General features: G+C 34.2%; 1 protein-coding gene across 13 annotated transcripts in view; it reads right to left on the reverse strand.

The window, feature by feature from the left end:
- Positions 1 to 299: 299 nt before the first annotated feature.
- BRINP3 (BMP/retinoic acid inducible neural specific 3) overlaps positions 300 to 16,726 on the reverse strand; it is a 380,207-nt gene continuing 363,780 nt past the window's right edge. For 12 of the 13 annotated variants that reach the window (XM_017001129.2, NM_199051.3, XM_017001127.2 and 9 more), the window contains one exon: positions 300 to 1,776. In XM_017001129.2, the coding sequence (XP_016856618.1) occupies positions 660 to 1,776 (1,117 nt within the window). In that variant the 3' untranslated portion in view covers positions 300 to 659. Of the gene's footprint in view, positions 1,777 to 6,714; positions 6,956 to 16,726 lie in introns of those variants that run through there. The other variant, XM_017001133.2, reaches the window with a different exon arrangement.

Here is a 16,726-nt window from a genome sequence, read left to right on the forward strand (position 1 = left end):
CTGTATGTTTGCTGAAATATTCTGATGTTTGAGAATTAGTTTATCTGAGTACTTTAATTACAATTGTGTCTCTAGTATTGGTTTCCCAAGTACAGGTAATAAACATACTACTGTCGTTGTTCTGTTAACCATAAAAAACAACTGAATAGTAAGTATCCTACCTACTTGGGTTTTCCATAAAAATAATTGAAAGAGACCTTCAAATATTTCCATTAAAAATTCTTGGTGAATTTTCCCCAGGTTCTAACAAACTGTATCAAAATAGAACTCATTTCATGGAAAAAAGGAATCCCACAGCATTTCTTTTTAATAACTGTTCAGCTACAAAATTTTATTGGTATCTTTTTATGTTCCCTCTAGAGGATGTAATGCACAAAAGCATTGCCACGGAACATATAAAATTACAAATGAAATTTATTGTAAAAAGTAGAATGTCTTCTAGACTGGTGTCAGTATTTATGTCATTCATAAACCAAAACTGCTGTATAATATATTCATTGTCAGCAAGTTCATGTGTGTAAATTGCCATCCAATGTTATTGACTGATATAAGACAGATATTGAAAAGACAATTTAAATTTACTCTTCCAAACATAAACTGTTCCACAAAAGCACTGTAAAAACTCCTTCAAGATTTTGGGTTGTGCTTGACATTTATGGTTAACTACATAATTTGGTCGTGTCATAATCCATTGTGTTTGGCAATTTGGCATTAAACGCCTGCAGAGCAGATTGGATCCTCACCACCTCACTAGTAGACAGCTTGAGTCTATGACGAAGCAAGCAAGAGAAAAGATCTAGACGACGCTGACCAGGTGGGGAGAGTTTATTTACACGGTCTCTGATCTCTAGTAGTTGCAAAAGTGCTGAATCCTGGGATCCCTGAGTATAGGGGTAGTCCAGCTGCAAAATCAGGTCCCGAATTGCTTCAGGGTCAAAGTGCATGCTGTAGCCAAACACTTGAATGTTATTGATTTTCATATAGCCCAGGTTCCGGGAAGGGTCAATAAACTCCAGAGGTTCATAGTAAATGCTCTCATTACCATTGGGACCATTGGACTTGATGCGACTTCTCAGGTAGATGTGTACTGTCTCAAAAAATGTCTTCCATTTGTTCCCCAGAGTTAATGTCCAGTTATAACACTGCAGGGGTAGGTCCAACTTAGTCCGCTCCCAGTCTGGAAAGCTGTTTTCATTCACAGGCATAAACCAGCTCTCAGAGTGGCTGCCTCCGAAGGGATTGACATAAACAGCCAACACTGGCTCCAAGGTGCTGTTTTTAGTTAAGCAAATCTGTAAAGAGAGACCCAAAATCATATGGACCAGACTTGACTTGTACTTATTGCTCTTCAAGGTGAGGAGCATCCGCTTACGCCAGGAGGGATCAAACCAGCTATTGAGGCGCATGTCATTGCTGATAAAAATGGCATGGACTTCTATTCGTCTGTCCGTTTTCTGCAGCAGATATTTCATCTCGAGATCTTGCAGGTCAGTTTCAAAGCCAATATAGTGATCGGTGGACTCGGCGACTTCAGGCTTGCAGAGCCCCTGGCTGAGCATGTAGCCGGTGTTGCAGGTGCCGCAGCGGGTGCGGTTGTCTGGTGCGCATGTCAGGCAGGCAGAGGCGTCTCCCACTGTGCAGGGCAGGAACGCGGTGCAGACCACCTGGTCATTCGGACACGTGCACGAGTGCGTCTCTTCTGAAAAGCTGCCTAGGAGGCCGTTCTCATTGCAGTAGAGAAAAGACTGGATGCGAGTAAGCCAGTAGGTTGAGGTTCTAGAAATACAAAACAGAACGAATCTACATAAATACAAAGATATTCTGTGTACTGCAGTAAACCGTAGCTCAGAAATCTTTGCTATCATTTCTTCAGGTCATCTCCAGCCAGTAATTTAAATGAAATAAAAGATTCATAGAGCTCATAATTAGACTATATAATACACACACACACACACACACACACACACACAGACGTGTGTATGTATATTCCATTTATCACTGCACAAAACAAGATTAGAGCTATACTTGGTCTGAACTGCAATACATTTCTAAATATGTGATATCTTCTAAAGACATTGCATGCTATCTCATTAGTGCACATGGAAGACCATTGTAAATAAAAATGGGTCATTATTGTTTTGAAATAAGAAGAAGAAAGGTAAGTGATTTTATCATAAAATATCTGTAGGAGAATTAGAGCATATACATGGTGATTGTTCATTCATTTACTCTTAGCTTTATAAACCACTAGTGTTGCAGGAAGGATGAATAGAAAGTAAAAGAAAAATGAAAGAAAAACAGCTCTAAATTGTCAATCAGTGTATTTAGATGCTAGGGTTGTCATCAACATTGAAAGAACAAGTACCCACTCAAAGAAATATTAAAACATGTTTATTCTTACAGGCTGCTCAAGAAAATAGTTGAAAATATCTCATTAAAATCAACAAGCTCCTTCAATAAGGGGTAAGTGTGTTAGTTTAATGTGTTTGATTTGAGTCATTAACATTTTTTTTCTCATCAGGTTAATCATGATTCCTTTTTCAAATCTCACTTTTCTGATTTTCTCGCATTATTTAAACTATTTTGGTGTCTTAAAACCAGTAAAATAATGAGGGAAGAGCAATGGCCTTGTAATAACACAATTCCTTGTTTTCAGTTTGTTGCTTTCTCATACTGCATGTATGATCATGGGAAAAGTTGCACAGCCTCTATAACACACAGTTCTCTCATATGAAAAATGGGAATAGTAATATCGTCCATGTTGAGATTTTGTGAGAAATAAATTAAGGTCAAACTCTATGCATGTACTTAGAATATTGCAAAGTGTCTGTTTCACAGTAGATACACAACAATTCCATTTTTGGTATTCTTATGCTTTTTTGGTGTTCACATTTAATACATTTTGGATTTCCTGCAAAATATATATGCTGTACTCAATCCTTTAAATATCTACTTACTGTTTTTCATAGTGCATTTTTCTGCTTAAGATTTTGTATTACTGTGTATTTACTTATTTATATTGTTTTTCTCATTACATATAATACCCATTTGCCAAAATCTTGTATGTTTTCTTTCATAGCTACATAACCTGTGCCCAGTAGAATGCCAGGAGATAACAAGCCTTTAATATTTATTGAATATTGAATAAAATGCATGGATTAGCCAAAGGAACATTTTCTTAAGAAGGGTATTTTTAAGTGAATTTTAAACCCTAAACTGAATATTTAATACACTTGGAAAATCCTAGCTCTGAAGTAGCAGGTAGTAAAGTAATACAACACTTTATTTGACATTTGCACAATTAAAAACACGCAAAAGCCTTTCTTGTCCAGCTTCTGTAAATGCAACTGTGTCGTATATACTCAGAATAAAAGAAAAAAATAAATCAAATCTAAGCCAACCATAAAACATTTTCCTTTTAATTATTTCTTATACTGAAAATCACTGATTGAAATTTTAAACCTATTAGATTCATGGTTTGAATATGTCCCCCAAAGTTCATGTGCTGGGAACTTGATTGTTAATGCAGTGATATTGTGAGGTGGTATCTAATGGAATATGATGTGTCCTTGGAGAAATGCCCTCATGAACAGATTAATGCCCTTATCTTGGGAGTTAGTTTCTTATAATTGGGCAAGTTTGGCTCCTTTTTGCTCTCTGTCTTGCCCTCTCTTTGCTCTTCCACCATGAGATGATGCAGCAAAAAGGCCCTCACCAGATGCCAGTCTTTTGATCTTGACTTTCCAGACTCCAGAAACCTGAACCAATACATTTCTGTTCATTATAATTACCGAGTCTGTGATATTCTCTTACAGCAGCATGAAGTGGACTAAGATAATTTATTTCTGAATTTCTCCAGATACTTTTAAGATAAATTCTCTCAAAAATTCTCCCAAAAGTATGCCCAGTGTGTTGTGAAATAACAAAAATGTGAGGCTATTTGGCACTTCATAAACATTACATCAATATATGAGTGTCTCTGCTACTCTTGCTGTGGTTCCTTGTTTTCTCACCACAGAATATATGTGCAAAAAGCTTCCTATTGCTGGTTTATAAAATAGCTTGATTAATCATTTCTGTATTCAGTCTTACAATGCAGATGTTAATACTACAGATTCATCATTTACAGTTACTGACATGTTTATGCCATTTCATTCTTTTTCTCAATCACATTCTTTCCTCCTTTATGCCTTCCTTTTTCTTTCTTCCTTTTTCATTGCTACCTTTCTCTTTCTCTGTCCTCTCCTGTTTTTGCTTCTTTATTCAGTTCTCATTTATGTATATCTAATATAAACTACATAAAATATACATCCTATCCAGATGAAAATTATATTTTCTTCCCTGAAACCAAAGAATTAATTCCTTGAGCCAACTCATCTCCCACTGTAAGCTCTAATCATGTTTCCAAATCATAAGAAGAAAACAAAAAATGAAATTAATAGACCTAAGGCAAAGATAGAGCTCACAAAAGTAGGGCACTGTAGAAAGAATCATTTGGACACTTTAGAAAAGCAAGAACTTTTTTCAGCTTTCTGTCTTTTCCAATCCTTTGCATGTCTGGCAAATACATTATGGAAGGAAAGCGTTTCGGCTGTTGGATTTCAGCTTCTTGGGTTTCAGCTCTCATGTATGAATACTGATAATTCAGCATACTGCCAAAGCTCTGGTACCCTGGGACTAAGGAGATAGTATGTAGATTTTCTTACTTGCTCCTTTGCGTCCTTTTTCCTCTAGCACCTACCTTTTGACTATTTTGCTACATTCTACAAGGAGGAAATAGATTTTTCAAGAAAGAAGAAATTTAGTTACCTGTCTTTTCTTTACTCCTTGTGTAATCTTAGTGAAAGCAGCAGTCAAAAATAAAGACTAAGCAAATTGCAGAATTGTATAATGAATTTTTCACATAGGTGGTTCCCCCACCCAACAAGGTAAAATTTAGTTCCCCTTACTTTATCTTAAAACTGTAAAAGAATTTTGGAGACAAATGTCCTAACAATTCAAAATTAGTTTGTATCAAGTGTATTTCCACTTTGTTTCTTTTTATGCTTAAGTATTAACACAAATAAAAGAAGCCACATTTTATTCATGTATACACATTGGTTAGACACACTATTTACGGTCTACTTGGGCTAAGAATTGTGACCACATGGGTGGCAAGTAGGTCTTCTGTTGTTTTTTATCAAACAGGTGGCAATATCCCTGACATCTGCTTAATAATACTTCAGTAAACATTCTAAATAAAAGAAGGAAAAAAGGAAGGGAGAAAGAAGACAGAGAGAAACTAAGGAAAGGGAGGGGATAAATACATTATAGTGAAGGAACTACAGATTATGGAGGAACAGAAGAAGGAAACTAGAATGCAAACTTTAAAAAAGCAATTGACATGATAAATACCATGATTTCGACCAATTCAAGGATATAGAGAATCTTTATCTATAAGGAAGAGTTTAAGTTTTGAAAATAATTCCTCAAAAATCTTTTAGGTGAAAGAATTATGAGCAGAAAAATATCTTCCGGAGTTCACTTAAAATTTAACTGGAAAAATTAATCATTAGCTAAAAGGCCATTAATGTTTATACCACTGAGAAATCATGTGACATACTAGTTTGAAATGTTTAGACAGCTGTTTCTTCTAGTCATCTTTGTTCAACCTATAATATTTTCCATTTATTTAAGATTTGCTCTTCTCCACAGGATACACATTATACATGTGTCAAAAGAGGACTAGAGTAGGAGTGTGAATATCTGACTTTACAGCCATACTTTACCCTGTGCCCTGTGACGAGTTACTTAGCTTCTTTAACCTTCAGCAGAAGCTTTGGAATTCAAGCAAATATTTGTTCAAATTATGATTCTGCATGACTGTGGACTATCGATAGTTTTCTGAGTCCCAATGTGTTAAACTGTGATTTCACTTGCTGATCTGTTGCCAGGATGAAAGGATATAACAGGTAAAACCCACCTACGACAGAGTCTTACACTGGGTAAATGCTCATAATGAAACAACATGAATTAAATGTTTGACTATACATTTTTTTTGTTTTAAAGAAAATCAACTTAAGATATGATTATTTCTCTCATTAAAGATGTTAGGTATGATTGGTGAACCAAGTTCCTGGGCCCCATCCCAGACATAAGAATTTCTAGGAGTAGGATTCAGGAATCTCATGTTAAAATATGCAGTCCCAGAGAACTATTACGTATACACAGAGGTTGCAAGGTCCATTATGTATGTAAATCAACAACCCAAAACTGTTATTAGGGATTCCTTAAATACCAGCTAACCATCAATATGGAGGAATATGTCTACAAGAAGGTAAGGAAAAGTTGAAAGTTCTGTAGAGAAGAGGACAACAGCAGATGGCTTTTAATTTATATGCATTTTGGGGCTCCGTGGCAACTATGTACAATAAAATTTATAAACTGTAGTAGAAATTTTACACATAAGAAGAATAAGCCACACACTAAAGCCTGTCATAATACATCACTTCTGTTCTGGTCCAGTAATATTAACTGTTTGGTGAACATCTCTCATTCTGGGGCCAGTCACTTTTTTTTTTTTTAATTTCATCTCCTTTCAGTAGTTTGTAAATGCTAATCCCATTTTAAAATTTGAATACAATTGAACCTTATCAATTTTAATGACTTAGTTACATATCTATTAAGCATTAGAATGAAGACAAACTCAGAGGAAAAAATCTAAATATTATTTTTTAAATATGTGTTGAAAGTTTTGTTTCACAGAATAATGGAGTGAGGGAGGGGGCAGATGGAAGCACTTAACAACCTCAGGGAAAACAGTCATTTATTGCCATAGCAGGACAACATCAAAGATACAATAACTTTTATTTGTGATGTAACATTTAGGTTCTTGAGTGACAATACACTATATTAGCTTGAGACCATTTTCTTAGGAGCCAGACTGTCCACTTTGAATCCTGTTCATTTACTTCACCTGGAAAATAGGAATTAAATATAGGGTTGTGCTAAGAATTAAAGCACAGTTGCAGGTAAAGCATTTAAAAGAATGCCTGTGCACAGAATAAACAGGAAATAAATGTAAACTCTTATTCCTATTATGAATGTTATTCCTACTATCATCTTTTAAAGAAATATTGTAGGCATTTTCTTTATTATAGCCACTTTTTTTTTCTCAGAAGATGGAACATTTCGTTTTCTCTTCAACAATTCATGCACTCACGCATAGTATTACACTATATACCTGTGTTTCACCTTTTTAAAAATAGATGCCATTTTAATAACATGATCAAGACTATATTGAAATATACTTGTATGACTTCTTTGTGATCCTTTTGAAACCCTCAAAAATATGGAAAACAATATTGCTCAAATTCAGGACAGACATTCTAGATGTGTAACGCTTTTCACTGAAGTATTAGAACATATGTTGATAGAAAAACAATTACCTCGTCTCATGGTTAAATCTGCTCTGAGCAGTAATAATCTTATTTCAAAGGTCCCTTATTCCAACCTTCTAATCCTTTATTGCTCTCCAAATCTGTGCAATGTGGATACAAACTTTAAAACCTAAACTATATAATTTCAGAATCTTTTTGAAGTTAAAGATTAGCACTTTTTTATGGTTAGGCTATTTTATTTCAGCCTTCATAGATTTGTTATTCTCAGACATGAATACTTTAAATATAAATTTGGAATTAGGCATCCACAGCCATTTAAGCAAGCATAAGCTGATTATTAGCTCAGTCACAGACAGATAAAACCAAATAAAATTCTGTCACTGTCTCTCCAGACTCTTGCTCTGGCCATCTCAGTTTTGGCAGCGTTGCCTAGGGCTGATGTTGACACTCCTGACACACAACAGTTTCACTCTTGGAAATACTTTTGCACTCTGAGAAAGGGAAATGTCACTTTCAAAGATCCCTCAACTTTGAGTCTCTCAAGAAAGTACACACACACACATACACACACACACACTTTAATTTATTAACCTAAATTCAATTATCTACTAATAATTTTGGCTTGCAAGAAGGCAATGAATAAGTGTGTGAAGCAGTTGAATGTGTAAGTTATATTTTAAAGATAATATTAGCTGATGTTAACATTCATTGAGCTTTTCTCATGTGCACAGTTATATTACAAGGATTATTTCATTTTCACAACTCTCACTACTCCCTGATATAAGTATGCTTGTTATCCTAACATAAATAAACACACAAGTTTTAAGAAGTTTAAATAACTAGAACCTGTCCAAGATCTAGCAGCTAGTGAGTGTCAGAGCTAAAGGTTTACCCCTGGTCTCTATTTCTCCAGAATCACAGCTTCTTATCGTCATGAACTGATGTAATTCAAATAATTTATTATTTAATCTGGTTAAGTGGTGTACACAGAAAAATGTGCTTACTTCTCAAAGAGCTATAGAAATTTTCTGTCCACATCTATGCAGCATAATATAGTTCAAAAAAATCAATAGATAAATCTCTCTTCCACTTATAATATAAAATATAAAAAGAAACACATCAACTTTTAAAGTGAGAAACATGAGTCACACAAAGATAAACACAATTACTTTTCTGGAAGTAAAAAAATTACCAAAAATAACTATATTTTAAAAATTAGCGTACACATGCGATTTTCTATCAAAGATTACTGTCAATTGAAATATATTTTTCACTAAATCATATATATTAAAATAAAAAGGTTTAAAAAGTATTATTATAGGCAAGTTCATGCTGTTAAGTGATTAGTGTGATTGAGGAATATGGATACATGCAACTATTCTGCAAATAGGAGCCATCAGGCCTCTCCTATGTTCTTTTATAACATCTTGGTATTCACCCCCCCATAATATTCATTACACCAGGTCACTGTTATCAAACCAGCTACATAATTTGTATTCTGTGAGATAAAACAATTATATACATACACATATATATAATGAAAATGATTTTATATATATAACATATGTTTATTTCATAATTTTATTATCATAAAGTACCTAAGTCAGTTTACAGTGTTTATGTTTAAATCTTTGCATTGCAACCTTCAAAACCTTTATTGCTCTTAAAATCTCTGCATTATGAATTCAAATTTGAAAATCTAAACAATAAATTTTAAGGATTTTAAAAGTATAATATTATTTTTAAAAGGTCATTTCATTTCATCCTTCATAGATCTGTTCGTCTGTGACCCTAATATTTGAAACTAAATATAAATTTGTTATGAATAAATACATTAATTAACAACATAGAGAGGAAGCTAGAAAAGCAAGTGCAGACTTAAACTAGAAATGTTCTTGGTTGTAAAGGATTTTTAAAAACATATATTTATTTATTATTATTTTTTATTATACTTTAAGTTTTAGGGTACCTGTGCACAATGATTTAATACTTTTTTCTTACTACCCAGTGAGTGGTAGACATTTTAAAACCTGGACTTATTTTCATAATATCTGTTTTTCTTTAAAATATGTTTCATGACCAATTTCCCATTAGTTTAAAGACAAATCAATATATTTTTCTTGTTGAACATTGAAAACCTGAAAACAAATGAAATTGTATAATTTAAATAATTTAATGAAATTTTAGTGTGCTTCCAAAAGTGGTACAATTTAGCATCCCTTTAAACCAAATGTTTCTGGACTCACTACTTACTCTCTTTTTACAATCATCGTTGTTGTTCTCAATGCTGAATATCAGCTCATTCCTTTGTGTCACAATTAAAGCAAGAATTTGGTTTCTGAAAATCTTGAATGTAGTTTTTGTAAAATAGTTTTATTAGATTTGTATTGCCAAGCTAATCTACTTAAATTGATCAATTTCTGATTGGATGACATCCTAATACCTTTCATATAAAAATATAAATTATTTTGAAGCCTTTACATTCTGACAACATCTAGTTGTCATTACTCAATAAGATATTTTCTTCGAAGCCTTTACATTCTGACAACATCTAGCTGTCATTACTCAATAACATATTTTCCACACTTAAAAATCTGTCCTTGTTACCCTCCTAAATATGTCATGTACAATTTCAACTACGTGGAATTTTCTTTTACAGAATCGAATGTCCTTTTTCCTCTGCTTAGCCAGTTTAAGATTTAAATTCAATTTTTCTTACCCTAAATGATCTTCCTTAACAATCTAACTTACAATGACTTACTTTTTTGGACAAGTGTGTTAATTATTATCTATATCACTTATTTGTAATTAAGCCCACTATAACAATATAGTGTTGTATAATAGATTCTTATCTTGTGATTTCAACTAAAATATACCATTCCTGATAGTATCTGTGTTTGTCTATATGTTAGCTTTCCTAATTGGAGTATGATCTCCTAAGAAAGAAGAAAATGTATATTGTTACACTAGAATCCCTAGAGTCCAAGAAAGTGCTTTTTCTCCCAACCCCTCCAAACAAAATTGCTAGATCAAAATTGACCTCGACTTATGTTGGCGAGAAAATGTAACAGTGAACACTCTTAAAAACTCTTTTACTGGGGAAAATCAAATAATTATGGCACTGAATTTTTTTTAATGAATTTATGATCTGGAAAATAATAATCTGATTTCTGGTATTGTAAGTCATGTGACTGCTATGTCATCAAATAACAATATGGCCTTCTAGACTCTATATTATTGTTTAGGAGTTTGATTGACTAAAATGTAATTTCAAAACTGGTCATCTTTAAAATGCTAATGTAGATGGAGATACTGGAGCTGAATAGTTGTCAGAAACTGGGCCATTAAAAAACAAAACAAAACAAAAAACACCAAGATAATATCACCTTCTAGGAATCCTTGATAGGTGAACTTCATCGATCAAAAATGTCACCCAAGTCACACTCGCAATGCAAGAGCTTTATATTAACATTTTCTAGTGGTTGGAATAAAATTCTGAACTCAGAATCATAACCGCATTAATAGAGATGCCACAAAATCACCAGGAAATAATAGGTTATACGGCCCTTACAAATGTTACCTTTTATGAGCATAAGCAAATCGTGTGTGTGTGTGTGTGTGCGCACACGCTGGTATAAAATTTGTACAATGGTTTAAGGAATGACAATTCATAACTTTAAAAGTCGGCTCATTTAAAATACTAATAGAAACAGTAAAATGTGGTCCTGTTTCACATGACTTTGCTTTTCAGGGAGAAGAGTACATAGGTATTATCTCTTAATTTTTCTAACAATTTAATATGACATTATGTTTACAGAAAATAAAATCAGAATGTATAAAATGACTGTTCTAAAGACAGAAGCAATCTAGTATGCCTAACCATCTATGGCCACATTATTTTCCAGATGAGACTACAAACAATGATGAATTAACTTAAATTACTATCTCACATCTACATAGAAAACAAATATTTAATCCTTGGTTTTCCAGACAAAGTTACAAAATGTAGACCATCTCCCTCACCTCAGTGACAAGACTTCTCACTAACCAAAATATCATCTGATTGGAAAAAAAATGAGTCTCTTTGGATGATATCAGCAATCACGCAAATCAAATAGGTGTTCAAAATACACTGTTCTCTCTTACTTGTGGGGTAAACCACAGCAATACAAATGAGAGCCTTTTATCAGCTGGCAGGAAGATAGAAATTTGTGTTACTTGAAGAGCTTCATCTGTTCAGTTAGCAGGGAGAAGATCCGTAAGTTTTTTCCTTAGTGTTTCTAGTTCAGCCTTAATGTAATTTTTGAACAGTAAATCCACTTTGAAATCATTTGAATATCAGATATTATTGTTTTCTTTTTGTTTACAAAGTTATGTTATCTTTATTTCTGTATTCATGTATTGCTTTTATCATGTATTGTCTTTTGATATTAAAATGATTCTTTGGAGGATAAAAAGAAGCCACATCATATGTAAATAATTGCTAAAACCATGATATGAAAAGTTACATTTTTTCATATATTTACATATGATATGTAGATTAAATACCTGTTCAAACAAAAATAGTTTGACCTTACAAAATCATACATAATTATCAAGCCAAGGATTAACAAAAGTCATTCTGGACATAGTTTACCAGATCCCCAGTATGTACTTACTAGAGTTCTGAGTCACAATCTCTCCAGTATTCAGAGCCATCAACCTATTGACACATTCCTCATATACACCATAAAGTAATAATCATAAGTATACAATGTGATGGCTAAGTTTTGGTGTCAACTTCACTGGATTAGGGGATACGCAGATAGCTGGACAAGCATCATTTCTGGGTATGCCTGTGAGGGTGTTTCCAGAAGAGATTACCATTTGAATCAGTGGACTGAATAAAGAAGATGTGCTCTCACCCAATGTGGGCAGACACCTTCTAGTCCAATGAGGATCTGGATGGAACAAAATGTCAGAGGAAAAGCAAACTCATTCATACTCTCTTCTGGAGTTGGCAAGCTCTTTTTTTCCCTGCCCTTGGGCATCTGAATTTCAGTTTCTCCAGCCTTTGGACTCCAAGACTTGCACCAGTAGTCCCTCAGGTTCTCAGGCCTTCAGCCTCAGACTGAGAGTTACACTATTGGCTTCTCTGGTTCAGAGGCTTTCAGATTTGGACTGATCCTCATGACTGGATTCTCTGGTTCTCCAGCTTGCAGGTGATCAACTGTGGGACTTTTCAGCCTCTTTAATCATGTGAGTCCATTCTTCTAGTAAGTCCCCTTTCATATGTGTGTATGTATATCTGTATATATCTATTCTATTGGCTCTGTCTCTCTGGAGAACCCTGACTAATACAATAAAGAGAACTCACTATGTACACGATGGGCTATGACACATTTTTTGTATATTAATGCTTACTTAGCCTTTGCAACCAATACGTGTGGTGAATGCTTTAATAGTCTCCAGTTATAAGTAGGGAGAGTAAGGTACACCAGATACCTCATAAGTTACAGGACAGTCTGTCTAGGAAAATGAGGTAGAACTCATGCTCTCAACCACTCTATTATCTATCATGTTACTAGCCCACCCAAGAAAGGCACATAAAATATTGTGAAAAAAAATTGAGAAAAGATATTTTTCTAGGTAATTATAATCTCACACCTTTCTAAGATGAGAGTTGTCTGAAACATTTTAGGCAGCCCAGATAAACTTTGGAAAAAAATGTGAGCTGCTCTACTTTCTCTGGATGAAGCAACACAAAGTAAGATGGGCATGTAACTCATACTGGCATCTTGATATCATCATGATATTTTATAGTTTCTCTATAGTTTAGCCAAGTACCCTCTACTAAAACACATATTTCATAGAGTATGTTAAAGCCAGATGACTGTTGGAGTCCTGTAGTATAAATGGAATTCTGAAGTGACCTGAATCAGGATATCTCAGGCCTTCTATTCAACCAGCCTAAAAACTAAGAAACGGGCAACTCACCTCAGCTGATGTTTGTGGCCATTAGGAATAGATTTTTAGGTTACATCTATATTCCATGAAAAAAAATTACAAAAACTGAATGGACACAGGGTTAAAACCAAGTAGCCTTTGATTTTGGAAATTAAATTATTATTATGTAAACACTTTGAATCACAATCTATGATTCTTCTAGCACAAGATAAACCTGTCAAAAAACTATCATGAACCAGAATACACTATTTTATTAAAACTTTAATTGGATCACGTGGTCAGGAGATTGAGATCATCCTGGCTAACACGGTGAAACCCCGTCTCTACTAAAAATACAAAAAGAAATTAGCCGGGCGTGGTGTTGGGCGCCTGTAATCCCAGCTACTCAGGAGGCTGAGGCAGGAGAATGGAGTGAACCCGGGAGGCGGAGCTTGCAGTCAGCCGAGATTGGGCCACTGCACTCCAGCCGGGAGCCTGGGCGACAGAGCAAGACTCCATTAAAAAAAAAAAAAAAAAAAAAAAAAACTTTAGAACTTTAATTGGAACAGAGGAAGGGAATTACTTTGGACCCGATGGTAATCACCTCCTTATTTAAACAGTTTACTCAAAATATTTCTTTTCTTTTTTTAATTAGTAGGTCATCTTTATATATATTGAAGTGTTACGGTATCTGGTTGTGTGAGGGGCAAAGGGAATCTGAGGAGGTAAGTGAGAAACAGCAACGTGATATGTAATTATGTAATTTAAGAGTGGGTGCTTTATTTGACATTGGTGCCTATCCAATATTCACAGGTCTATTATTCTTCCTAACAGGACCTTGATTTTGTTCAACACAATGTGCCAAAATAAAACAATTTTTCCAGTTTCCCTTAGAGTTAGAGGTAGCTATGTTACGCAGTTCTGAAACAAACAGAAGTCTAATGTGGGAGAGTCTTGGATTGCTTCTTACTCCTTTAGTCAACAGACATGGCTTACTCTACTACTTTCTGCTACTCACCCTGAAAATGGACATGAGGTCTCAAGCTGCAGGAGCCATCTTGCCATTTCAAAGTCACAATCATAAGGAAACTTGAGGGGAAAGGAGGGTGAATCATAATTGGCCCTGAAATCAAGTTCAGGGACCATTGGAAGCAATTTCTTCCTATATTAGAAAGAAAAATTAAGAACCTTCTGTGAATGGAGATTGGAGGACTGGAGGAGTGTTCCAGGGCTGAAACAACTTGAATGGATTTGCATACTGAGTCTCAAAAAAGTGTTTAGAGGAAAATACCTCAGAAACTAACTTGTTTTTAGCAACTCTAAAATGAAAGCCAAGCAGGCCATATAGTTGGAACTTTTGTGGAATAAATAGATAAAAGGGTGAAAATCTGAAAGAGGAAGTTGAGCCTATTGACCAAACGGACAGGTGATTTTCTTTCACCAAACAGAGTAAAAACATATAACTTAGTACAACAATCAAAAAAAGTAGTAACAACATGGGAGAGAATGTGGAGGTTTGAAGCATGACTGGTTATACATGAAAGCTTTTTAGTGCTTGTTGAAGATAAAACCTGGAGGCATGTAAAGAAAAGGCTTTTAAAAATTAAGTATGTGTTTTCAGCCTCAGCAATCCATATCACAGTGTTCCTGCAACAATGTCAAATTAATGTTGAGAGTATATGCTATTTGCTTGATTTATGAGGATATATTCTAATGTCAAATAATAATAAAATATTAACTGAAATGAGACTGAAATCACTGAATATTTCTATGCATTAGTATATTATGAATTCCTTGACCATGGCACCACAGGAGGCAAGTAGTATAGCCTCTATCTTTCACAATGCTATTTTGTTTTTGCACTGAAAAGCTTAGAAAAATACATTTACAGTCTTGGATTATGAAAAACAATTTGAAAATTAATAAGTACATACTGAATTTTTAATCTAATGTGTACTTTTTCCTTTTCTAAAGAATCAAAAGTCTCCCTTTAGTGTCTTCTTAACTGTATTTGGATTCTTGTAAGGAATATTTTATTCCTCATTTTAGTTTACTCCCACATAAATCACTCCAGTAAATGATCTGAAGCTCAGCATTTCCCTAGTCCTCTAAATTGGAAGAAAATTGACACATATATCAATGCCTAAAGTTGTTTTGGTGAGAATTGTACTGAAACATTACATTCCCCAGGAAAGAACCCAGGATTAAATCAAAGCTACTTTCAATTAAGTATTCAAAGCACAGGGCTCCATATTAAAAGAAAATGATGTAGTTCTTTTTCTTCATGAAAGCATTACTGAATGGTACAAACTTTCAGCTATAAAATAAACTGTGGGGGGTGAATGTATAGTATGGATGGTGAAGGATGTTTTAATTAACTAGATTGTGATAACTGTTGATACTACACAGTGTATATGCATATCGAATTATATTGTACACTTTGAATATGTACAAATATTACCAATTAAATATTTTAAGATAATAAAAAAGCAATAATCAATTGATTATTATTATAATCATGGTAATAGTCCCTATGTACTAATTATTCTTCTTCCACTCCTCCTCATCCTTAATTAATAATTAAGTCAATTGATTAATTATCATTCTCCCACTCCTCCTCATCCTCCCTCTCCCTTACCTTCTCCTGCTGCTCCTCCTTCTTCTTCCTAACCATCTTTGGAGAATTATGCAATGTCACTTCAGTTTATTATCTTTATTTAGAGAGGGCGGAGATTGTGGAACATAAAGTTCTGAAACAACTTGTCAGTACCATTGCCGAAAAGTCAGTCCATTTAAAATACATGGACAAAGAAGAACATAATCCCAATCTTTCACGGAATTATGCTAATTAGTTAAACAAACAGCATGTGTCTCCTTTAAGGAGACATTAAGTAAGTTTCTACACATTTACCCATTTCTAAACATCTGGAATTACTGAAAAATAGAGTTGAGTCAAAATAAGTCAGAATTAAATAGAACTATACTCTTGTTTATAAATGAGAAAGCTGAAATAACAATAGCAAATTACTCAAGTCCTCCGTCAATTAGTGGCAAAACTAAAACCAGGGAGCATATTTCTAGTATATTGCAAACATGACAGAACAATGGCTGGATTTGAGATATGAAATGAGACCTGTCCAATCCATGGTTTGGGGACTCCAAAGCTGTGTGATTTGAGGACATATTAACTTCTTTTGGAATACGTTTTTTTCACTAATAACGCAAACTAGGTTTTACCAGAATATCTTTAAATTTCTTTCCAGCTTCAACAGTCTACATTCTACCTGAAGACTCAGGAATCCTATGTGTCTTCAATAAAAATACTTAGATTATACCAGTGATATAGTTTGGATATTTGCACCCACCCAAATCTCATGTTGAAATGTTATCCTCAGTGTTAGGGTTGGGGCCTGGGGGAAGGT

Source organism: Homo sapiens, chromosome 1 (assembly GCF_000001405.40).
Source record: "Homo sapiens chromosome 1, GRCh38.p14 Primary Assembly".
Classification (NCBI taxonomy): Eukaryota; Metazoa; Chordata; class Mammalia; order Primates; family Hominidae; genus Homo; species Homo sapiens.